Source organism: Homo sapiens, chromosome 3, assembly GCF_000001405.40.
Source record: "Homo sapiens chromosome 3, GRCh38.p14 Primary Assembly".
NCBI classification, from domain to species: Eukaryota; Metazoa; Chordata; class Mammalia; order Primates; family Hominidae; genus Homo; species Homo sapiens.
The window spans coordinates 17,177,098-17,200,940 of record NC_000003.12 but is presented as its reverse complement, the minus strand read 5'-3'; the positions used below and the strand labels follow the sequence as shown (position 1 = coordinate 17,200,940).

General features: G+C 38.8%; 1 protein-coding gene across 62 annotated transcripts in view, besides 4 other annotated features; it reads left to right on the top strand.

Annotated features, from left to right (window-relative positions):
• The window catches only part of TBC1D5 (TBC1 domain family member 5), a 585,470-nt gene that overhangs the window by 541,691 nt on the left and 19,936 nt on the right, over positions 1-23,843 (top strand). For all 62 annotated transcript variants that reach the window (XM_047449296.1, XM_011534283.4, XM_047449314.1 and 59 more), the window contains one exon: positions 15,733-15,832. In XM_047449296.1, the coding sequence (XP_047305252.1) occupies positions 15,733-15,832 (100 nt within the window). The remainder of the gene's footprint in view (positions 1-15,732; positions 15,833-23,843) is intronic.
• Positions 4,344-4,393: a silencer, noted in NCBI's record as "silent region_14124". NCBI's record gives its function as "represses an Ori minimal core promoter by ATAC-STARR-seq in GM12878 lymphoblastoid cells {active_cell/tissue: GM12878}" and the evidence as "EXISTENCE:reporter gene assay evidence [ECO:0000049][PMID:35858748]".
• Positions 4,574-4,683: an enhancer, noted in NCBI's record as "active region_19568". NCBI's record gives its function as "activates an Ori minimal core promoter by ATAC-STARR-seq in GM12878 lymphoblastoid cells {active_cell/tissue: GM12878}" and the evidence as "EXISTENCE:reporter gene assay evidence [ECO:0000049][PMID:35858748]".
• Positions 18,477-18,576: a silencer, noted in NCBI's record as "silent region_14123". NCBI's record gives its function as "represses an Ori minimal core promoter by ATAC-STARR-seq in GM12878 lymphoblastoid cells {active_cell/tissue: GM12878}" and the evidence as "EXISTENCE:reporter gene assay evidence [ECO:0000049][PMID:35858748]".
• Positions 21,019-21,068: an enhancer, noted in NCBI's record as "active region_19567". NCBI's record gives its function as "activates an Ori minimal core promoter by ATAC-STARR-seq in GM12878 lymphoblastoid cells {active_cell/tissue: GM12878}" and the evidence as "EXISTENCE:reporter gene assay evidence [ECO:0000049][PMID:35858748]".

The following is a 23,843-nucleotide window of genomic DNA, read 5'->3' as shown; positions in this document are numbered from 1 at the left end:
TAATCCTCTTAATACACATGTTTATCATTACAAATTTATCAGATTGACTTTAAGTTGCATTTGACTAAACTATTGTACTTGGCTTGAATAAGATTGACCTTGGTATGGAATGTTTGTACTGCTTGTTGCTCAGGAGAAATTTTTTAAAACATCTGAAAAAACAACTAAAACCCTATTCAGCCGTGATGTTACAGTGTAGCCAAAGGATTTAAAAAGCATTGAATGTATGGATCACCAGAAGGTAATATAATCAAATTTCCAAACTTCCTTTTTATTTAAGATGACAATTTCCCTTAGAATTGTTACCAACTATAGCAGCAGTCCCCAACCTCTTTGTCACCAGGGACCGTTTCACGGAAAACAGTTTTTCCACAGATGCGGTTGCAGGGGCATGGTTTCAGGATCAAACAGGTTCCCTGTTCCACCTCAGATCATCAGACATTAGATTCTCATAAGGAGCACACAACCTAGATCCCTTGCATGTGCAGTTCACAATAGGCTTCACACTCCTATGAGAATCTAATGCTGCTGCTGATCTGACAGGAGGTGGGACTCAGGTGGTAATGCTTGCTTGCCTGCTGCTCACCTCCTACTGTGCAGCATGGTTCCTAACAGGCCGCGAACAACTACTGGTCTGTAGCCCGGGGTTTGGGGACCCCTGAACTATAGTACAGTGTTTATGTACAGTTCTATCTATGGCCTTATCATTTCCAGTCAATATGTTGCTTTCCAAAGTTACTTTGGTCAGTAGACAGGAACTTTAACAGCAAAATATAGTGTTTATAATAAGCCAAGAACAAATTGGCCTTATGTTAAATCCTAAAAAGTTATAGGCTATATTTGAAAAGAGAGAAAAGAATAAGAAAATTATTTCTACTTGAAAAACAATTGTGAAAAGGGAAGCTCCCTCCTTTCCCCTCTCTAGCTCATCAGTTGTTCATAGACCCAAGACTAGACTCAGACTTCTGGCTTTCATGGTCACATTTCTCTACTTTTCTCACCTTTAATGTTCTTACTGTTCTGCTTTAACATTTGATATCTTTCTTATTTTTGCCTCTGTGAGGAACTCTGAAAGATGGCCTGATCTCATTAAATAAACCAAATTCAACCATACCTTGTCCGTGCTACAAAAAGGGCCTTTCAGATCAACATCAAGGATTACCTCCAGGTAATCGCTCTGGCCTCTTGATCATCATCACCTTTTTATTCCTGGTGGCTATCCCAAAGGTGGGACAGTTTGCAACATTTTACCTGAGTCCTTCCATAGGTCCCTTCAGTACATATATATACTACCACATGGTCCAAAATTTGAAGGAGGCCTCAATACAATGTCCCAATCAACTTAAAACAGTGAGAAGTGCTGCCAAATTGCTTAACTTTGGGATGTTCTCAGTTGGATTCTAAGCAACCATTTGGGTTTGAAGCATATTTGTACACTCTACATGCAACTGTTATTCATGTATCATGATGTGAAAATATTCCATAAAATATCAAGAATAATGTTTTTGAAAATAAGAATGAAATCAGCATGATACCAATATGTGATGATGGTAACATTTATGGAAATCTTAAATTCATCTCTAGACAACTGTCAAACTATAATATCATTTTAGCTGGACAGTGATGAAAACATGAATATCTGTTTATTGCACAGGATAAATGAGGTATTGATTGTTTTCTTAATGTCTATAATCAGTCATACATCCTCAGTCCTCTGTTATGACCAGACTTCTTTTTTGACACCCTTGATTTCGGATTTAGATTTGAAGGTTGGGCTGAGACATGAGCTTTTTCTCAAATAAATGAGCAGTCCTAATTTTTTTGCCAGAAATTGTGATTTAAATTTCCAAGATGGACTAACTATAAAACGTTTAAATGCGGAACCTTGCGTTTCACTCTAGAGACTGTCTTTATTTAGTATGCTTTCAGCTACATGTAGCGGAAAATGCAATTCACACTGATTCCGGTAACAAGGAAAGTTATTTAGCTCAAGTTCCAAGGACTTCCCATTCCCGACCATACGTTAGAATGGCCTGGGAGAATGTTTTAATCAATACTGGTCACAGAAGAACTGAGTCAGAATCTTTCCAGTGGAGCATGGGCATTGGTAATTATTAAAAACTTTCTGGAGTATTCAAATATGTAGTCAAGGTTTAGAACCACTAATTTAGAAGCTCACCTGTGTCTTCAAGGATGCAGTTTCTTGCCATCTCTCTGCCCTGACCTGCCCTGCCCTTCCCAGAACGAACTCTTCCCCAGGTTGAAAGCAAGACAGTTGTAATAGTTCTAGACACCATATCCATTCACCAACATCGAGAGGAGAATGACCATGTCTTCTAGGGCATTTTTTAAAGGTAGGTTTGCCAGATAAAACACAAAATGCCCAGTTACATTTGAATTTCAGATAAATAATGAGTAAATTTTTTAGTATAAGTATCTTATATTACATGGGACATATTTATACTAAAAACTTTATTTGATGTTTATATGAAATTCAAATTTAATCCTATGTTCTATGTTTTTATTTCTAAATATGGCAACCCTATCTTAAAGGCGTTTTCAACAGCTACTCACCAAGACTTCCTTTATGTCTTATTGGCCAAAATTCCTAGATTACCCTTAAATCCATCAGGCCCAGCCACTGCCCACAACTGTAGATTGGGTTGGAGGGGGCTCATGGCTGCAGGGCCCTCTTGGGAAGGAGACACAGGGAACACCAGCCCTAGCCCCTATAAAGAACAATAGTACAGGTAACACTTCTGTTTCATAAACACTGAGTGATACCATGATGTCTAGACTAAAACTTTTCTGCAATTACCTTTCTGGAAAAAAATATAAATTTGATTTTCATGAATGTATTTATCTTCATTGAACAGTCGTCTTCAGAACTGTTCTTTTTTTCTTGAGACAGGGACTCATGCTGTCACCCAGGCTGGAGTGCAGTGGCACAATCTCGGCTCCCTGCAACCTCCACCTCCTGGGCTCAAGCAATCCAACCCCTTCTGCCTCCCAAGTAGCTGGGACTACAGGCGCGAGCCACCATGTCCAGCTAATTTTTGTATTTTTTGTAGACATGGGGTTTCACCATGTTGCCCAGGCTGGTCTTGAACTCCTGAGCTCAAGTGACCTGCCTGCCTCAACCACCCAAAATGCTGGAATTACAGTCATGAGCTACTGCACCCCATCCAGCGGAATTGTCAGTTCTGAGGTGACAAATGTTCCCCAAAATCACTATGCTATGCAAAGACATGCATTAAAAACCACAGGGAGTCTAGGCACAGTAACTCATGCCTGTAATCCCAGTGCTTTGAGAGGCTGAGGTGGGAGGATTGCTTGAGGCCAGGAGTTCAAGACCAGCTGGGACAACATAGCAAGACCCCATTTCTACCAAAAAAAATTAGCTGGGCTTGGTGGCACACACCTGTAATTCTAGCTATTTGGGAGGTTGAGGTGAAAAGATCGCTTAAACCTAGGAGTTCAGGGCTGCGATGAGCCATGATCACACCACTGTACTCCAGCCTGGGTAACAGCGAGACTTTGTCTCTAAAATAGTAATAAAAATAATAAGATAAAAACCCCAGGGCTTGTGGGGAAAATTGGATCGAGGTACAACACTAAAAAAAAAGGTCATCAGTGCCACATGAAACAAAGTAGGAACCTAATAAAAGTGGTAGAGTGGTTTTACACGTTAAGTGATTAAGAAATAAATAGTGCAATAAATATGATACTTTACCTTGAAAAATACCTGAAGCTCAGTTGCGGAAGTGGACATTGGAAGGGTTGCAGCTTGTGAGTCACTGTGAAGTGGTGGAGGAGAGTTATCTGGATGGAATCTGATGGATTTGGTTATGGAAGTAGCCCATAACACACACGGAATGGAGGTAGCTGGCAGATATCTGTGTTGCATGCATGTAGGCATTTTGTGTATTCCTGCATTCCTACGTGTAGCTGCGTTCATCTATGTGGAGTTTTCTGCATTCACCCATTATTTCTTGAGGATGATGTTGTGTGTAAGCAAATGTGAACTTCGGGTTATGCTCAATTATTCCCTAATACATTGATCTCATTGAAACAAGTTCACATTTTCAAAACAAGCATTATAACGGAACTGACTCTATACAGTTCATGACATGCAGCTTCTGGATTTGGCGAGTTGGAGGAATGAGAATATAGAAAGGTTACACTCTACATAATTTTCTTGTTCTCAAGTAACAAACCCATGTTAATTAGAAATTTTAGAGTTAATCCATTTTATTAATGGTCAACATATACCCAAAGTATTTCACGACACCAACGTGTGCATCGTGTATGTCTGACTCATATGCTTTGACTCCTCATCAGAATTCTGCAGGAGCCCTTCTCCCTAGGATAAATCCCTCAATTTTAAGGTATGCCCTGTAGGGCCCTTTACAGTCTCACCCTGTTCAGCCTTATCATTAGTCCTCCCTCTTACTCCTCCCCAGCCCCTCAGGAATGCATAGCTGTTTCACTTCCCTTAAACCAAGCATGCTTTCTCATACTTCTGTGTTGTTTCCCTTCACTGTCTCTTCTGACCAGAGTGATTGATGTAGCCACAAAATAGAGTCCCTTCCAGTCTCAGCCCAAGCACCTTGTGTCCCATGGAGCCTTCTCTGCTAGGAGCTTTCAGCACTTGTAATAAGTAGCTGGGGCCCTAGTTAAGCTGCAGATTTCAGAGCCCCTCCCCAAACCTAAAGCAGCAGCATCTTGAGATGGAGGGTGTCCTACGTAATCTGCAAATGTTTCCCGTTTTGAATGTCAGAGAACTACTTGTGTTTACTTATAAGGCTCTTGCAGGCGCTTGTCACTGTATCTTCTGTGCCAGATATTGTGTCTGGCACTCAGTAAACGTTTAGGAATAAATGAATGCTGTTGAGGGTTTTGTGTGTTGTGCAAGTATTGAGATGTCTTAGGCTTTGCTCTGGCGTCCTCTAGAGCCTGAAAAGTTGCTTCATTTCTCAGCAGCATTTACCAACCACTTATTTAAAAAGCTAATAGGAATTGTTGGTATTTAGTGAGAGATGGGGTATAACTTAAGGGATGAACTAACAAAAGTATGATAGGCATATGAATAAACCAGGCAATTTAGAGAATTATTTCCTTCTCACCTTTTTTTCTTTCCAGAAGTCTCAGAAGTGGTAATGTTTATGTTAAAAAAAAAAAAAAAAGAAAGAAATATCAAGGCTGTTCCAAAACTTACTTGCTTTTACCAGTTGTTACTTAAAGTAGTTCTTAAACTGTACTTGATCCTCAGCTTGGATTTGCTGCAGGGTACGGTTTTTTGTCTGTCTCTATTGGGACATTATAGAGGTCAGTTAGCCCAGAGAATAAGTTGTGCAAGTGTGTACATTTCATCTTCACACGGATCAATTAGCTTTGTCATAAGAAAAACAGTCTTGGCTCAGGCCCTTCTATCTGGGCCAGCCATTGTGCAGATGCCTACCCTTGGTGCCAGGAACAGCAAGGGAGAGCACGCAGATGGTTTTGCCCAGCCAGCATTGCTATGAGAAACTCAGCTGGAGGCCCTGGTGCTGGCTGGCTGGTTTCATCAGTTGGTCTTATCACGTGTAAGTGGGGAGGGGGAAAACCCTTGTTAAGTAGAGTAACATCTGTGTTTATTGTCCTGGTGGAGGAGAGAACTACATGGGTTTCCAAATGATTGGTCAGGTTGCCTAATTATAAAAACACAACACAGAAATGACAGCATAAAAGCCCAAAAGATGGGAGCATTTCTCCACAAATGCCATTTAATTAGACTCCCATACATAAGCACTTCTAGGAGACACCTTTTATACCTTTTGAATTTTTACAGGGCTAAGAAGACATACCATATGCATATAATTATTTTAAACTGCAGTTATAGGACTTTTGCAAATAATGAGGTTTGTAACTCTGCAAGTGAGGTTTTATTCTTCCTCTGGTTACACCTATGTGAAGTTGGTCCTAATTAAAGGTTTTATTTCAATTTCCAGTATATTTATTCCAGATTGTAAGCTTATTTACTTTACTTTAGATATTTGTAGCACATGATCCTGTTTTCTGGCACCGTTCTTGTCTTTTCTGTTTACTTTATTATTTTTTGTAGGCAACTTCTAGGAAAGCAAAATTAGATTAAAATGGCTCACAATGTTAAAATGGCAGTAGGTATAAAAGCATGTTTCTAAAGGCTAAAAGTTCTTAATAAATATTACTTATGATTTTTTCAGAAATCATATATTCAGAAAGATATCTTCTGAAAATCAGGGATGAATTTAAATACCATGAATTATGGAAGTATTTTTGCCATTTCCTTTTCATTGCATTTTATGTTTGAAAAGCATCTTTTATTCTCTGATACTTAATACACAGCCTTTGTCAAAAGTTACAGAAGAGAGCATGCATAATCCAATAAAATTAATTCATATTTCACTTGTTTTTAATGAGAAATTGTATAAATGTTTGTGTTTACAATAGAATAAACTGATATCTAATGGTCTAAGAATTAGCTCTAAATAGAATAATAGAGCTACTCAGTACAAAACTAACTCAGGGAGATTGGAAGGCTCTCCTGGAAGCTTGTCACCCTGCTTCTCTCCCCGCTGCATCCTACTCCATGTTGAGAAGAGGTCTTTCGGACTGTCACCAAATACGCTTCTAACCATGCAGCCATCTGTTAAAATTGCCTTAGATCAGATAGATAGTAAAGTACTTCACAGCCTTCCTAGAATGACGGGAAGAGATATTCAGAAGTAAATATTAATAGAAGGTTAGCGTGAGATGAGTTATTTAAATCCTTGCCATCCAAATTGTGGTCCATGGACCAGCTGCATCCCATCCCCTGGGAGATTGTTAGAAATGCAGAATCTTAGGCCCCAACCCAGACCTACTAAATCAGACTCTGCATTTTAACAAGATCCCCAGCTGATTTTTATTCATATTAAAGATCGAAAAAATTGATATTAATAACATTAATTGAATACCAAATAAGGAATGAGATTTTCTACATATAAAGCAAGCTTCAAATATATCCTAGTGTGAGCATGTTCTCCTTGTAAATGGTGGCTAAGTGCTAATAGTTATAGAACACCTTCTGTAAGTGTGTCCTCTGTTCTAAGCATTTTACATGTATTAGCTATTTTAATCCTCAAGCAACGCTATAAGGTCACTGCTAGAATTGCTTCCTATTTTACAAATTAGAAAACTGAGGGAAATAGAGTCTGTGGTTAGCGCTATCTACAAAAGAAGTTATTAGTCATAACTGGGCAATGAAGAATTTCTGCCTTATCAGGTAGACCCGAAGAATAAAAAGGGGTAAGAAATGAAGATCTTTTTTAGTCCCTCAATAAAACTTATAAGCAACAGCTGAATATAAAGGGAAATTTCTTTCCCTTAATTTTGTGAACCTTACATGCACTATTTTTAAAATATTTGTAATCCATACCCCATATGTCGCACCCACGGCAAGCATGTGATCTGAATTAATTATTTTAACCTGCCAACACCTGACTTCAAAAAGAGATTTGAAACTCTTCGCATGTAAACCAATGAAGAGAATGTGAAGTTGATATGTAATTTGTCAATTCTAGGGATATGCTATAAGTCAAGTAGCAATTTGGTAGAGAAAATTTTTGCAGGGAAAAATAAAGGTTTCTCCCTATACTTGACCTTGTGGTCTTGCCCTGCAGCCCCTGTTGGGCTCCTGAAGAGAAGGGGTTTGAATGATCACTATCTATTAGAGCCAGCTGAAGCAGCACAATCAGCGAGGAGCTCTGGGCTGGAGAAAGCCTGACTCATGCCTCACCGGGCCACCCCAATTTTATCACAGGCAATTTTTAACTTTATAAATTATAAGGAGTCAGTATTGTTTAATGTAGAGGTTTTATCCAAGTTTCTGGGGGAAACTAAAGGAGTGAAAAGTGATACAAAATCCTGTGGAGTTTAGGTTTTAGTGACTTTGCTGTAGCCTTCAATAGTCAGGAAGGAGCACTGCTAGTACAGGAGGATGTGGGGTAGAAGGAAAAGGGCTCAGTGATTGTTATGAAAACCCATCCTGTCGGGACAAATCCAGTGTTCCCTGGTAGTGAGGACGTCAGCGGTGGGACACCGCAGTGCTTCAGTGGCTGAAAAACAAGGAAGCCTACCAGTGGGATTTCTGCTACTTGCCCAGCTACCTGGCCATACAAAAGCTGCTTTATTTGTAAACAAGAAGGGGTTGAAATAAATGATCTCTAAAGACATTTCCAGTTCTGAAATGATATAATTGGATAGCATAAATGTGACATCTTGAGCTTTGAATTTCAGTTCAAAATTTCTAAAGGCCATTTCCATTTACATTTAACTTGTTTGTTTACATCCTGTCCAAAAATGGGAACTGCTATTTACTGGGGGATTTTGTAAGCATCTTTATTTTTAAAATATCTTTAAGAATCACGTTATTTCTAGGCAACCCATAAAGAGCAGCATCCACTAACGTTCTCATTTTAATCATATAGAAGGAAGCCCTTTACCATAAGAATGCTATACTACTCCAGGTTTGCACATGGGACAAAATATGCTAATTATTTACCTTTTTTTTTTTTTACAATTTATTTCATAGAAGTTTCTCTATTTAGTGTCGTTTAGAATACAGATTTGTTTAGAGTATAGAATATTACTTGGAGTTTGATTTGGAATCAGTTATGTCTTTTTTCTCCTTGGCAATCACCTTTCACTTTTTTCTTCTCTATTATGTTATTTGCATTATTTGATTTTCTTATTACAAAAATATGATCCAATTTCATTGTAGAAAATCCACCGAAAATTAGCAAAAAGGAGAGAAAAAATCACCCATAATTCCACCATTTGAAAGAAACCAATATAAACTATTTGGGGACTATCCATTATTTTTTTCTATGCATATATATATATTTTTTGAAATCAGAATCATTGTTTACCTACTACTTTGTAACCTGTTTTCCCAATTAGTATGTGATATGTCGTTCTTAAATGTTCTCCTATAAATACATTTTAAAGGTTGCATAAGTTGGGTGCGATGACTCATGCCTATAATCCCAGCACTTTGAGAGGCTGAAGCAGGCGGATCACTTGAGGGCAGGAGTTTGTGACCAGCCTGACCAACATAGTGAAACCCCATCTCTACTAAAAATATATTTAAAAAAAAAAAGCCGGGTGTGGTAGCAGGTGCCTGTAATCCCAGCTACTTGGGAGGCTGAGGCAGGAGAATCGCCTGAACGTGGGAGGCAGAGGTTGCAGTGAGCCAAGATCACACCACTGCACTCCAGCCTGGGCAACAGAGCGAGACTCTGTCTCAAAAAAAATAAATAAAAAATAAGGTTTGCATAGCATACTGTTTATAAATGTTCCACAAGTTACCCAAATCACCCATCATTAGACATTTAGGATTTCTGTGAGGTGCCTATGCCCATATGTGTGCATGTTGCCATTGAATGTGTGATGAATATCCTGGGAGTTATTCTTGCATGCATTCATAATCCTTTGAAATAACTTTCTAGGATTGTATTAAAATTCAGAGACAATAAAATTCACATTTATTGAGTGTTTACCATGTCCTAAGCACTGTGCAAAGTATTTAATCTGGAAAACCTAATGTAATTCAAATCCAGTCCTCCAACAAGCACATGAGGTAGAAACTATTATTATCACCATTTTGTAAACAGGAAACTGAGGCTCAAAGAACTTTGCTATCTGGTCAGAATCACAGAGAAGGTAAGTGTCAAGCCTAGTATATACTGATTTTAAGGCTTGTGATTTATATTCCAGCTTGTTCACCAGTATGGCTGCACAGCTTCACACCTCATACCACTTATTTTAATACTCTTAAAAAGTCTTCTTTGTGCTCTTCTTCTATTTTTTCTGGTGGTATCTTCCTCTGCTGATACCATATGCTTCTGACTTGGATTTCATTCACACCGTGTATGTGTTTTGCCCTTGTGTACACCACAGCTTCCTCCGAACATCCGTGGCCTTTCCACTTTTTCTCCTTGAGACTTTCCGTTTCCTTTACTTCCCACTTCTTGTTCACCCATCTGCTCAAGAAAGACTGGGCGTCTTTCCTGTCTTCTGGTTGCTATATTTAGCCTGTTCCTGCTGCCTACAGTTAGTGTTGGTTCCCTTGTCTGCTTCTCTTGTGATCTGAGGACACCCACTTAGAAGCTAAGCAGAACTCCACCTCAGTGCCATTCCTGCCTCACTATTCCCCTGGAGTTTGAATTAGTCCATGGACAGAAACACCACTGCAGCCTGTATAATAATCTGTCAGCATGGTGTGTGTTGGGGGCAGTGGCCACAGTAGTCTGCATGTCAAACCCCAACCCCGAAAACATAATTATGTGAAGTGAAAATGCAACAGGGATGAACAGAAGAGGAAGGGAAGCCTTTCTGCTGAACCTCAGCTCGTACTATCCCCATGTTCTGGCTCAGCTCAGTGACTGCCTGGTTGCCTAGGTGCCATACTTTCCTGCCTCCTAAAACATCTTTCCTTATTATTTTGTCTAAGCCAAGACTCTCCTTCTTCAGGACCCCTCAAAAACACTAGAAAACCTCCTTTCCTTTCCACATACACAAATTGAAATCATCTTCCCTTTCCAGAATTGTAAGGAGTCCTCTCTCACGTCTCTTCTACAGAACTTATCTTGTACCTCTCTTGGCTTTCTGTACAGGTTTGACCATCCTCTAAACTTTTTCAGTGGCCATGTTTTAGTCATTATTGTATTTCTCACAAGGCCTAACACAATGCAAACAAACATCACTTTTGAAAAAATTAATATATGAATGAATAATAAACTATGAAAGTTTATCCTCTTTTTAACAAAGAAATAGCAGGACTACATTGAATTAATTAATAAAATTGACATATTAAATTTAAACAGCTGAGATACCTAACATTTCAATAGAAGTCTAATGATGCATCAACTATTTGGGGCAGAATGATAGAAACACCACTTATTAAAAAGCAAATTCAAAAAACAATTTCTTCAGATTATTTAGTCAAAAAGAAAATCATTCAACAAACAACAAAACAATACAGCCAATCATATCTGAATGTTTTTGAAGGAAAACAATTTAATAAGCAATTTGGCATTAGGGCTCAGCATTACAGCTGGTGAATCTCAGGTAAAGGAAACTGAAATATGGGATTATTCATGGGAAGGACCATGGTAATGGAGCATAGGAAGGGATGTGTACACAGGGAAGAAATGAGAGTAGCAGGCCAAGTGACTTGGGTTCTCAAAGAGCTATCTAAACCTTAGCATACACTTCCAGAGACTGTGGCTTACAGAGGAGTAGGCCATATTTTATGTCGGAGATAATGAGAGAATATACCTCAGAAGTTTGTGTGAAGAGTAAACATGTTAATACAGCAAAGCTCAGTGTCTGGCGTATTACAATCAATATGAAGGGATTTGATGCTAGTTATTTTTCTCTTCTTATAGAGTGGCCCTCATCTTCTGGTCCTTTGCTATAGGGCACCAATTACAATTGGTGATGTTGCACATTGTAGTCTACAGGTGGCCCAACTTTATCCTCCTCTATCAATTTCTTGCCTTGTACATTAGTTTGCTATCCCATGCTTAAGACGGTGATGGGCTCTTAAGCTTTAATTAATCTTTCTGGGCTAAGCTACATAAAGGTTTTAAAGCCAGAAACTAATGTTTTCCAACAGTGAATCATAAAACTTTGTATTTAAATCCATTTCACTGTCTTAACTTGATTATAAAAAAATTTTTTTAAAGAAAGAATAATTACCTTTATTGAGTGTCTGCTCTGTGCCAGATGCTGTGTTCTCCATATGTTCTCATTTTGTTCTCCCCCGATCCTGCCAGGTGGGGTTGAGTAGACCAAGGAATTAAGGAACTTGTCCAAGATTATACAGCTAATAACTGAGAAAAATAGGATGTGAACCCAGCTGTGTCTATTTCAGCATTCCTTTGTTCCCCACCCTATGCCCTCCTATAATGGAAGGCAGGACATACACATAAAAGTAAATATAATGAACATTTATCTTCAGTGTCTTAGTTACACATAACAATTAACACTAGCTGGTTGGTTTCATAAAACCTCAAGGCAATTAGCCAAGCATTTTTATTACAGAGGACCAGTTTAATGAAAACAAATAACTAAAGCTATCAATGTCTAAAGCATTGTTAGTTGGGAGGAGTGTGGAGGATGAGAAAAGATAAAAATGTAAAGTCAGTTCCCACAGTTTTGGAAGCTTGATTCTTGGCTCTTTCTTTTATGTGTAATTATATAATATAGTGAAGAATAAATGACAAGCCACCCTTTTGCCTCCAAGTGATTCCATTTCTATTTATAAAGTCTGAGTGATAGTTGAAGGGTTTAGAAATGTTTTAAGATTAAGCAAACTCTAGAAGGATAATACACTGGATTTCAGACTATGGACGAGGTTCTTGGTACCTCAGCCTGCTTCAGCCAGAGTAGTCCTCTTTTATCTCACATATTTGGCTTTTGTATAACCATCCCTTTGAAAAAGAAGGTTTATCTGATTCAAAGTTGCCTTTTTCCATGTGTTTATATTGAGACAAACAGATTCTGTTTGTATCAAGATCTACTTGGGTTTTAGGTATTCAAGATGCACTTCAGTGGCTGCCACCAGAGCCCTAAGCAAAAATTGAAAACTTGGAAATTTGTGTTTTTATATCCCTGCATATTTTCCCAGCAAGTGCCCTGGACTGCTACACTCTTAGGACTTCCCCATTAACTATACAAGTTAGAGGGCCCCAGTCTCATCGCAGTCTTTATTACAGTAATGTTCCTGCTAGAGGAATAAAATGTTTTGAGAAAGAGGCCCTCTTTAAGCTCATACTTTCCACCAGCTGTTCAACACCTCACTGCCAACAGGCTGTGCCTATATCCTCTAAAGCGTGTCTTCTAAGTTCTTCCTACCCAGTTTGAGTTCCTTTGCAAAAGAAAATGAATCCATTCAGGTAGGAATGACTGCTGAGTATCAAAGCTCCCAACGGCTTTTGTATTTTAAAATAAGTGGTGGCTAATCCAATTTAAACTAATGCATGGAGTAAATAGAGGAGAAGTTTTTAAGCCAAGAAGCACTGCATTCCTTGTGCCCTTGGTCCACTCTGGGCTGTCAGCACCCCAGTTGGTAGCCACTTGTAAGGCGAAACACAGGCCATAGGTTGGCCCTCTCTTTTTACAAGACTATCAAACTCTGGCTTCGGTACAGTTCTAGACTCCGCTCATTGGGGAGGACCAGGCAGGACCAGGAATAGAACTTATGTTTCCTCATGCCATATGCTAAGTTAGTGTTGTTTTCATTCTGCCACTATTTCTGTTGTCTATTGCTGCATAACAAACTACTCCAAAATCTAGTACTCCCATCATAGATCTGTGGATCAGGAATTTGGGCAGGGCTCAGGCTCTTCTTCTGCTCCACATGGTATTGACTGGGTCACTTACTGGGCTGGCTTCAGCTGGCTTGGGCTGAAAAGTCCAGAAAAACTTTATTCACGTGTCTAGAACTTTTGAGCTTCTCATGTGCCCTCTTTTTCTCTATGTGTTCTCTCCTTTCTTTCAATATTGTAGCCTAAACTTCTTTACAGCATGGTAGCTAGCTTCTAATGAAAGCAGAAGCTGGCAGTCCCCTTAAACTAGCTCAAAATTAGAAGTTTGATTTCGGCTAAATGCTCTGGATCAATGCAAGTCATAGGCCAGTCCAGATTCAAGGACAGGGGGAATACATACTACCTCGTAATGAATGAAGCAACATGCAGAGTCAGGGAGGGAAGAAATTGATGGTGGCCATCTTTGGAGACTAACCTCAATCATTATTAAGCAGCAGATGTAGCCTTCTTTCTCTAATTCCTACAGTTTCCTGTGATAACGAGGGAAATTCAAGCCTGTTCAGAAACAAGTGAGAAAAAGAGTAGAAAAAAAGCCCTGAAATGCCCCATCCTTGTCTACCTTAATGCTCAGCTGCAGAGTTAGGAAGACAACCCCACCTCTCCAAAATTACTTCTAATTATCCTTTGGCTAAGCTTCTTGTAGTATTTGTTCTTATTTGAGTATTGGAGGAGAGGCTGCTACACTTGCAGGATATGTAAAGAACATGGTTAGTGCTTGTAAATCCTACAGTCGACATTTCACAGTAATTTGTTTTTAGAGCTGCTACTATTATGTCTATTTTCTTTTCTTTTCTTTTTTTAATTTTTTTTTTTTTTTTTTTTTTTTTTTTTTTTTTGGAGATAGAGTTTTGCTCTGTCGCCCAGGCTGGAGTGCAGTGGCATGATCTCGGCTCACTTCAACCTTCACCTCCCGGATTCAAGCAATTCTCCTGCCTCAGCCTCCTGAGTAGCTAGGATTACAGGCACTCACCACCACTCCCAGCTAATTTGTTGCATTTTTAGTAGAGATGGGGTTTCACCATGTTGACAAGGCTGGTCTCGAACTCCTGACCTCAAGTGATCTGCCTGCCTCTGCCTCTCAAAGTGCTGGGATTACAGGCATGAGCCACTGCACCCAGCACTACTTCTGTTTTCTGTGTCCAGTGTTTCAATGCCTATTCCTACGGGCTAGTTCTTCAGGCAGCAGTTAAAAACAATAATTTGCAGTGCTGCATGTACATATTGTTAAAATGGGATACATCTACAAGTAACCTTTTCAACTATTAATTTCCATGCACAAGTCAAATTATACTCATTCTCAAAGAGAAAGGATACCTTAGTAGGTTTTTTTTTCCTTCTTTTTTAGTGATACAGAGGATTCTTATGCAAAAGGACAAGTAGATCTAAGACTGGAAAATCAGTTTTCTAGCCTATTCCAGCCCTGGCAGTATCCTTTCTTGGTATCCTAGCTAGCTTTGTTTAGAGTATGCTAAATGATGAGGATTATTCTTTTTCTCTTAAAAAAAAAAAAAACTCCGATAATCTTCCAAATTTCCTTGGGAAACTTTTTGCTTATATTATCTTTTCCTTAAAAAAAAAAAAGAAAAGAAAAAAAGGCTTCATCCTTTTGTTACAGTTCGATTGTTTTTAGATAATTTAACTTAGATAATTATTCAACCCAGAGTACTTTTTCCTAGAAACAAACAAATAAATGAAGTATTTTAGTGTCATATCAAGAGAGAGGAGCAACAATTTATGGGCTGCTGAGGCAAAACTTTTCCAAGCGCTTTAGGAAATCTCACATTTTAAGAGATTATCATTGTCTAGAAAATGATGAGCTATGTCTTTTTTTTTATTTTTTTTTTATTTTTACAAAGTCTAGGTTCCAGGCTTAGAGATTTGTCTTATAAAAAGGGAAATCTTTGGTTTCTCAAATGTGTGAAAAAAACGCAATGTTTTTGTACCAGCTGCTTAGGAAGTGTAGTTCACTGAAATCCAGATTGCCCTCTTAATTTGTGTTGCTCAATGTTGAAGATATATTGTGCACTTTTTAAATACAAGGTTGTATATGCAAATATTTGCAATGCAAGATTGTATATGCAATCTAACTGTAACTTTACACATGGCCTAAAGCTAGAATTCAATTAGAAAAATCCAGACGTTTAAAATTTTCCATTTTACCCTTTTTTTATTTTGTTGGTGGTGGCAGTTGTGATTTTGTTTTTGTTTGCTATTTAGATTTGTCTAGGTTTAAAAAGGTATCATGCTTCTTTAAACTAGTCTAGATCATTTAGAAAACTTTGGAGATTTTATTTGACAATCTCTAAAAAATTTCCATATGTTTATCCCTTTATTTTAGGAAGAAGAATTAGAAGCCCAAATTTCCTTCCTTCAAGGGCAGTTGAATGACCTGGATGCCATGTGCAAATACTGTGCAAAGGTGATGGACACTCATCTTGGTAAGTGAATTACTTTGGCCCTGGGAACGATGAGACTCATCACAATAATAGCCACTAGCAATACTTTGTTCTAGGCCTTGTGCTAAGCTGTTTACATGAATTACCTTATTTAATCCTTACAACAGCTATATAATAGAAGTACTCTTACTCTCACTCTCTACATTATATAGATGAAGAAACCAAGGCATAGAGGGATTAAGAAAATGCCCCAAGATTATATCATTAGTAAATCGAGTGGAAATTCAAAATCAAGCAATCCGATTATAAGCTGGATGCCGTGGCTCACAGCTGTAATCCCAGCACTGTGGAAAGCCAAGGTGGGAAGATTTGAGGCCAGGAATTTGAGACCAGCCTGAGCAACATACTGAGACCCTGTCTCTACCAACACAAAACAACAAATTTTTTTTTTTTTAATTAGCTGGGCATGGTGGCACGTGCCTGTAGTCCCAGCTGCCCAAGAGGCTGAGATGGAAATATTGCTTAAACCCAGGGGTTTGAGGTTGCAGCAAGTTGTGATTGTGCCACTATATTCCAGCCTGGGTGACAGAGTGAGACTCTTTCTCTAAACAAAAATAATAAAATAAAAAATTCTTTAAAAGCAATCTGACTACAAATCTCAACTCCTAGTATATTGCCCTTTGTAAATGTCTACTTACCTCAGACCAAAATGAAATATTGAGTTTTCAAGATCAAATAATCAGCTATATTGCTGTGCCAACCTGTCAGTAATCACTAATGTGATTATTATTTTGACAATTCTTTGTTTTTTTATAAAAATGTGTTTTTTAACCACCTGCCTGAAATGCATGACCTTTTCTTACTTCTGACTGTGCTTATATTCTAAGAAATGTCCCAGTTTGAAGTTCATTTTGCATGTGGGTCATGCATGTCACATTGGAAAGTCTTCAGGCACTGCTCTGCATTTGTAAAGGTGCTATATCTCACATTAGAGATACTTTATGCTGACTCATGTATGAATCACTTCAGTAACTCCATGCTGCTTACAAAAGCTTTTGTCATGCACCATTTTACCATTTTTTAGCCCATTTATGGACAGCCTTTGTTTCTTCACTGTCCAGTGTCTAAGATTGGTAACTTATGAATAAATTAGGAAATTAAGACATGTACTCATGGAAATGGCCAATGTGCTGCTCTGTAGTGTTGAGAAATGGCAATACCAGGTATTATAAGAAATCAGGATGCATCCCACCTGTGAGGAGAAACCAAAGAGAATCCACCAAGGCATCTGGGGCCTTCGTTGGAGGTAAACTCTCTGCCTTCAAACCCCAGCAAGCTCTAAGCCATTACAAGTAACAACGGCTGTCATTTGGATATAGCCTAAACCGTACTGGCCTCAGTAAAATAATAAATGTTCTCTTAAAAGATTTGGAGAGATGCTGATCTAAGTGGCTGGCTGCCTGACAGTGTCTTATTAGCAGCTGGCTGGGTCCTGTTCTACCCTCAGCCATATTCCTACCATCTCAACCACTCCTGCAGGGAAAGGGCTCAAGAGGGAAAAACAGCAGGAGAAACCCTGGTAGATGATTGATAGGGTAGTATCTCTCATCACAGCAAGAAACATTACCCCTGTCACATTTGATCCACCTCTTACAGACTCTCTTAATAAGCTGCTTGATGATCATTTTTAAAAATTCATATAGACCTATAACCAAGTCGCCAGTTCGGTCGCTTACCACTTGCAGAGTCCAATTAACAAGAGTGAGTTCTGGCTGGTATAAGGAGACTTTTTATTCCATAGCTTAGCTTAGGGGAAGAAGTACAGACTTCTGCCCTTAAAGATACCACCTCACTTTGGGGACAGAAAACAAAGGCTTTTAAAGGGGGACTTGGCATGAACAGCAAACAGGGAAGGAACGAGCAGTTAAAGGTCTGTGTCCGTGGCTTCATTGCCTTATCTTCCAGGTGGTTAAGCTGGCGCCAGCACAGGCAGAGCTAGGTTGTAAAGTGACTGTTGTCTGAGATACTCTCCAGTTGGGGGGAGAGTTTCATCTCAGGCATACTGGAGGTTGCAAAGTGACTGTTGTCTCAGAGAAATCTCTGGGTGGGAGAGATTTCCAGTCCTGGAGCTTCTAAGCAAGCACATAGTTAGGTAAGCTTGCCCTGTAGGGAGTGTCTGGTAAAGGGCAGGTAAAGATTGCGTTTAAAGAGCTAGGTAGGAAATGGAGAACAAGGCAAAGGGAGGAAAGAGAAAAGAAGAAAATAATAATTTAAAAAAAAACACAACTCATTCTCTTTCTCTTAGAAAAATGGGGGTAATAAGTTACAGACCTAATTTTACATGAATCTTATATTATCTAATATCATTGCACTTTAAAATACACCAAAAAGAACTAATAAACAGATAGCTTATATAGTTGTATATGACTAATTATGGTTACTTGTTTAAATATAATTTTAATTTTAAAATGAATGTATAGTTTTTGCTTTTCTGGCTACTTGGATGACCTTTGCATTACTTGACTTTAGTTTTCACCAAAGTAAGAGAGCAAAGAAGTGATGGGGAGAAAGATTTACTGGAACTCCACAGAATCCTGCTAGGAAATTCCCAAGTTGTTTGGTACACACAGCAACTTTTAAAGCAGCTTTACTTAAGCCTCGGAATTTTCAAACAGCTTTTGCTCTGACTTTGGTCTTTCAATCAGCACTGAAAGAGCATTTTCTCATTGCATGGGAGGGGGAAACACTTTAATTAAAATGGAAAGAAAAGCCTATACCAGCTGTGAATTTTCAGCTAACCACAAAACTAGATTTGTTTTTGTGTGTACGTTTCACTTTCAGCCAGAACTCGTTCACATAGCTGTTGACTTTTTTTTCCCTCATATAAATAGCATGACTGCGTTTTTAAAGTGGGATTAAGGGATGCTACCAAGAATTCCTGGCTCCACGGCCCACAGATGCATTTCACTTCAAATGCACAATACAACAATGGTTAATTAAAAGATGCTCCTAGATTGTAGGCAACTTTGATTCTAAGCAAAGATTCAAGGAAAACACGAAGATTAAGTTGACTTGATGCTCTTGATTTGTTTTTTAACATATTATGGCTTCTTAAGAAATTATTTTAATACCCTTATTTTTTCCATAGATGTGTTTCTCTTTCTCATTATTAAAGGAGAACAAAATTGGAAGGACTAAGGTGTTCATTAGTAAGGGATTGAATATAATATAGTATAATATAATTCAATCTTTATAAAGATTAAAATGTTAATATAAGTAGATATTAGTGATAGATTATTAGGTGATAAAAACAGATGGCAAAATGGTATATATTTGGCCTGAAAATACTGTTAACAGTGGTTGCCTAGGTAAAAGGAAGGTTATAGAGGGACTTTCCAAGGGACCTAATCTTCTATGCTTAGAAAATAGAAGACATGCCCTGAAAATCTGTGGATGGCTTCAGTGCATGTAACTAGCACTGGGGGGTCAACCTGTATACGTAGCAGGCAGAGCCAGTTGTAAGGGTGGTGAAGTGGTGTCTGAGAAACAGACAACCTCATGAGGCATCAAACAGATCTAGGGTTGAACCCAGGCCCTGTCCCTTAACTCAGCCTGCTTATGAATGTGTCCTCATATGTCGACACATATGTACTTGACATTTCCATCTATCTTGCCAGTTCCTTGCCAAAAAATATTTTTAAACCCTAGTATCAGGAATGGCCCAAAGTGGGTATTAAACACAAGTCATCTCATCTTTCCTTTTAACTCTTTAACTGTCTCTTCTCAGGGAAGAATCTGAGAGACTCTTCCAGCCCATGGCCGTAGAGCTGAGTAATAACTTGTCCAGAGTCTACAACTGGTTAGTTGAAAAGCTGGACTAGTACCACATTTCCCAGTACCCAACTGAATATTCCTCTATCAAATGATGCAAAACGATGCTGGAATTTGGGATGTGCTAGTTCTAAGATGAGGTGTGTGAGCTCCTTGAGCAAGAATAGCTATGTCAGAACTTAATGATGCCTCTGGGGCACTTAGTGACATGAGGGCCACTGAGCCTCCATTATGCACTGGGGTACAGGCTACTGAGGTGGCTGTGAGAGCTGTCTCAGAAACTTACTCTAGGAGTTACTTCTCCAGATCCTTTCCTAATGTTAATTATTTTCGCAAAGTTCCATTCATATCGAGAGAACTCCATCACACCTTATGTTTTCTTTTCTTTTTTTTTTTTTTTTTTGGTGTAAATGTAAGGGGTACAAATGCGCTTTTGATACATGGATATACTGCACAGTGGTGAAGTCTGGGCTTTTAGTGGAACCATCACCCAAATAGTGTACATTGTACCCATTAAGTGATTTCTCATCCCTCACCACCCTCCCACCTTTCTGAGTCTCCAGTGTCTATTATTCCATGCTCTATGTCCATATATACACATTATTTAGCTCCCACTTGTAAGTGAGAACATGCAGAATTTGACTATTTCTGAGTGGTTTCACTTAGCATAATGGCCTCCAGTTCCATCCATGTTGCTGCAGAAGACATGATTTCATTCTTTTTATGGCTGAATAGTATTCCATTTTATATATGTAGCACATTTTCTTTATCCAGTCATCCATCCAATGCCGGACACTTAGGTTGCTTCTCTATCTTTGCTATTACTATATCGCCCTATGTTTTTGTCACACATGCAATAAGTATCTTAAAATGTCAAGTACTATTTAAGGCTGTTTTTATAACTGATAGCAGAACAAATGTAGAGAAAATCCTTTCAGTTAAAAATTATTTAATGACATTTGGTCAAATGGCCCTTTAATTATAGAGATAATAAAATTGACAGGTTAACAGTATTTCCTCACAGTTTTGGAACCCAAAACTAGAAGGCCATTTGTGTTGCCAAAACTACCAAAATTCTAATTTTATTACCTCCAAGTGATGGAATTATTTGAATTCAAAGGTTTAGAGACAGGAATTGAAAATATGTTTTATTAAACCTAAACTTTTCCTGTCAGCTTTAGAAGAGGTTTTTTACATGTTGATTTTTCTGTTGCTATGGTTACTCTCCTTGTCATCCTGACAGTGAGTTGAAAGCCATTGACAGTATTAATCTCTGTGGCTGAGCTTAGGCTATTTTTAGATATGCCGTACTTCACACATAATTGCACGTGGGTGAGCAACCTACGCTAGTCTGATCTGTGAGCAGCTGGGCTGAGCTGCCAGCTGTTTACAGGGAATACATGAGCTGCTCATCCTTCTGGGCTCTAATGCCCATACCCTCCTGCTCCCAATGGAAGTGTTTCCATTCATCTGTTTGGTATTTGGACACCTTGGTTTCCAGCAGCTTGCCCTTTCATTGATGAGTCATACAGATAATTAGATGGTTAAATGCAATTAATGAAGGAAAATTTGATTTCCCATGCTTCTGTTGAGAGTACTGTAGCTCATAGGATCGTAGAATATTAAAGATGTAAAAGCCCTAGAAGTCAACCTAGCTGTTCTTTATTTGCAGATGAGGAAGCCAAGGCCCAGGAAGGGTGAGTGACGCTTCCAGCTAGCTGGCAACGAGAGTCCAGACCTGAATCTAGTCCTTGGCTTCTCTTTCACTGATTAGTCTACTGAGGCCACACTTGAATCAGCAGTAGGATTTCAAATCTTGTTATTTTATTGCACCCATCGTAACTGATTTTGTACTTGTCATAATATTTATGCATGAATTAGCTGAAAAAGGAGGCCAGTTTTGAACATCAGTTTATTTGCCTCCATAAGAACTTTATAAACTTAATTTTCTGATGTTTATAAAAACAACTTTCAATGAATATCTTTGGAAATGTTCAATAGGGCAATTAACAAATGACATTTGAAAAAGTGAGGAAGAAAATGTGATCACCAGACAGCTTTCTCTCTGTCAACTACACTATGAAAAAAGAGTTTCGTGATTATTTTTAAGAATTTTAAATACGCTTTTTATTGCGGGTAGCAGAGTCCTCTATAGGAGGAAAAGATACAATTCACCTGAAGATCTTGTTAAAAATGAAGATTCTGGAGTCTGATGTTGGAGGCACGTGCCTATAGTCTCAGCTACTGGGAATGCTGAGGTGGGAGGATCACTTGAGGCCAGGAGTTCGAGGGTGCAGTGTGCTGTGATCCGGCCTGTGAATAGCGACTGCCCTCCAGCCTGTGCAACATATCAAGATGACGTCTCCAAAAAGGGAACCCTGACCAGCATGGCCATGCCTATAATCCTGGCACTTTGGGAGGCCGAAGCAGGAGGATTGCTTAAGCTCAGGAGTTCAAGACCAGTCTAGATAACAGAGGAGACCTAGTTTCTATTAAAAAAAAAAAATTAAAAATTAGTTGGGCATGGTGGCATATGTCTGTAGTCCCATCTACTCAGGAAGCTGAGCTGGGAGGATCACTTGTGCCAGGAGGTGGCGGATGCTCATGCCACTGCACTCCAGTCTAGGTGAGAGAGCAAGACCCTATCTCTAAAAAAATAAAATAAATAAAAGAGAACTTTTGTTCATTGTTGGTGGGAACATAAATTGGTACAGCTACTATAGAGAACAGTTTGGAGGTTCCTAAAAACTAAAAATTGAGCTAAAAATATGATCCTGCAATTCCATTCCAGGGTATATACTCAAAAGGAAAGGAAATCAGTATATCGAAGAGATATCTGCACTCCCATGTTTTTTTAGCACTGTTCACAATTGCTAACATTTGGAAGCAACCTAAGTGTCCATCAACAGATGAATGGATAAAGAAAATGTGGTATATATAAAGAATGGAGCACTAGGCCAGGCACAGTGGCTCACGCCTGTAATCCCAGCACTTTGGGAGGCCGAGGTGGGTGGATCACGAGGTCAGGAGATCGAGACCATCCTGGCTAACATGGTGAAACCCCGTCTCTACTAAAAATACAAAAAATTAGCCAGGCGTGGTGGTGGGCGCATGTAGTCCCAGCTACTCAGGAGGCTGAGGCAGGAGAATGGCGTGAACCCAGGAGGCAGAGCTTGCAGTGAGCCGAGATCGCGCCACTGCACTCCAGCCTGGGCGACAGAGCGAGACTCCATCTCAAAAAAAAAAAAAAAAAGGAGCACTATTCAGCCATAAAAAGAATGAGATCCTGTCATTTGCAACAACATAGAACTGGAGGTCATTATATTAAATAAGCCAGGCACAGAAAGACAAACTTTTCATGTTCTCTCTTATTTGAGGGATCTAAAAATAAAAACAATTGAACTCATGGAGATAAAGAGTAGAATGATGGTAACACAAAGAATAAATGCTTGAGGTGATGGAGATACCTCATTCACCCTGGTGTGATTATTATGCATTACATGCCCGTATCAAAATATCTGATGTAACCCAAAAATATATACACCTACTAAGTACTTGCAAAAATTTAAAAATAAAAAAAAAAATTTAAGATGCCATCTCAATAGGATTCCGATGCAGTAGGTCTGATGGTGGGACCTGAACTTCTCCATTTCTAGCAGACTTTGAATGACTTGGTGTTACTGGCCCTTGACAGATTCTGAGCAGTAAGGAGTAAGAGAACTTAAATTATTTAGACATGATTCAGCTAATATATTCATAAACATGTTAACATATTCATAACCCTGTTAACATATTCATAACCCCATGCTTCAAACATGCATGCACCTAAACTCTGGGCAGAGAGCCCACTGCCTCCCCTAGCATCCTGATGTAGCCTGCAATCCTCTGAAATTCAGAAGTTCTTTTTCAGCCTCCATCACCTTGTTCTAGTTGAAGTTGTTTCCCCCTGGTTTTATTATTGGAAGACTTGCAACAATTGGTCAGCATCTTCCTTATACCAACCCTATACCTATTTAGAAAAACTTAGCAAACTACACACTAGCTTATCCCTCTTCAGGCCAGGATGCCACCACTCCAATAATAGGGCCTCAGTACAGACTGTCCAACTTTCATCATTTTGCTTTCCATTTTCTGGTTCTTTCCCTTTTTCTTATGTGCTTTTCCACAGGAGGAACCCAAATTGAATTATTTTCTTTCTTTTTTTAAAAAAATTTAATACCAA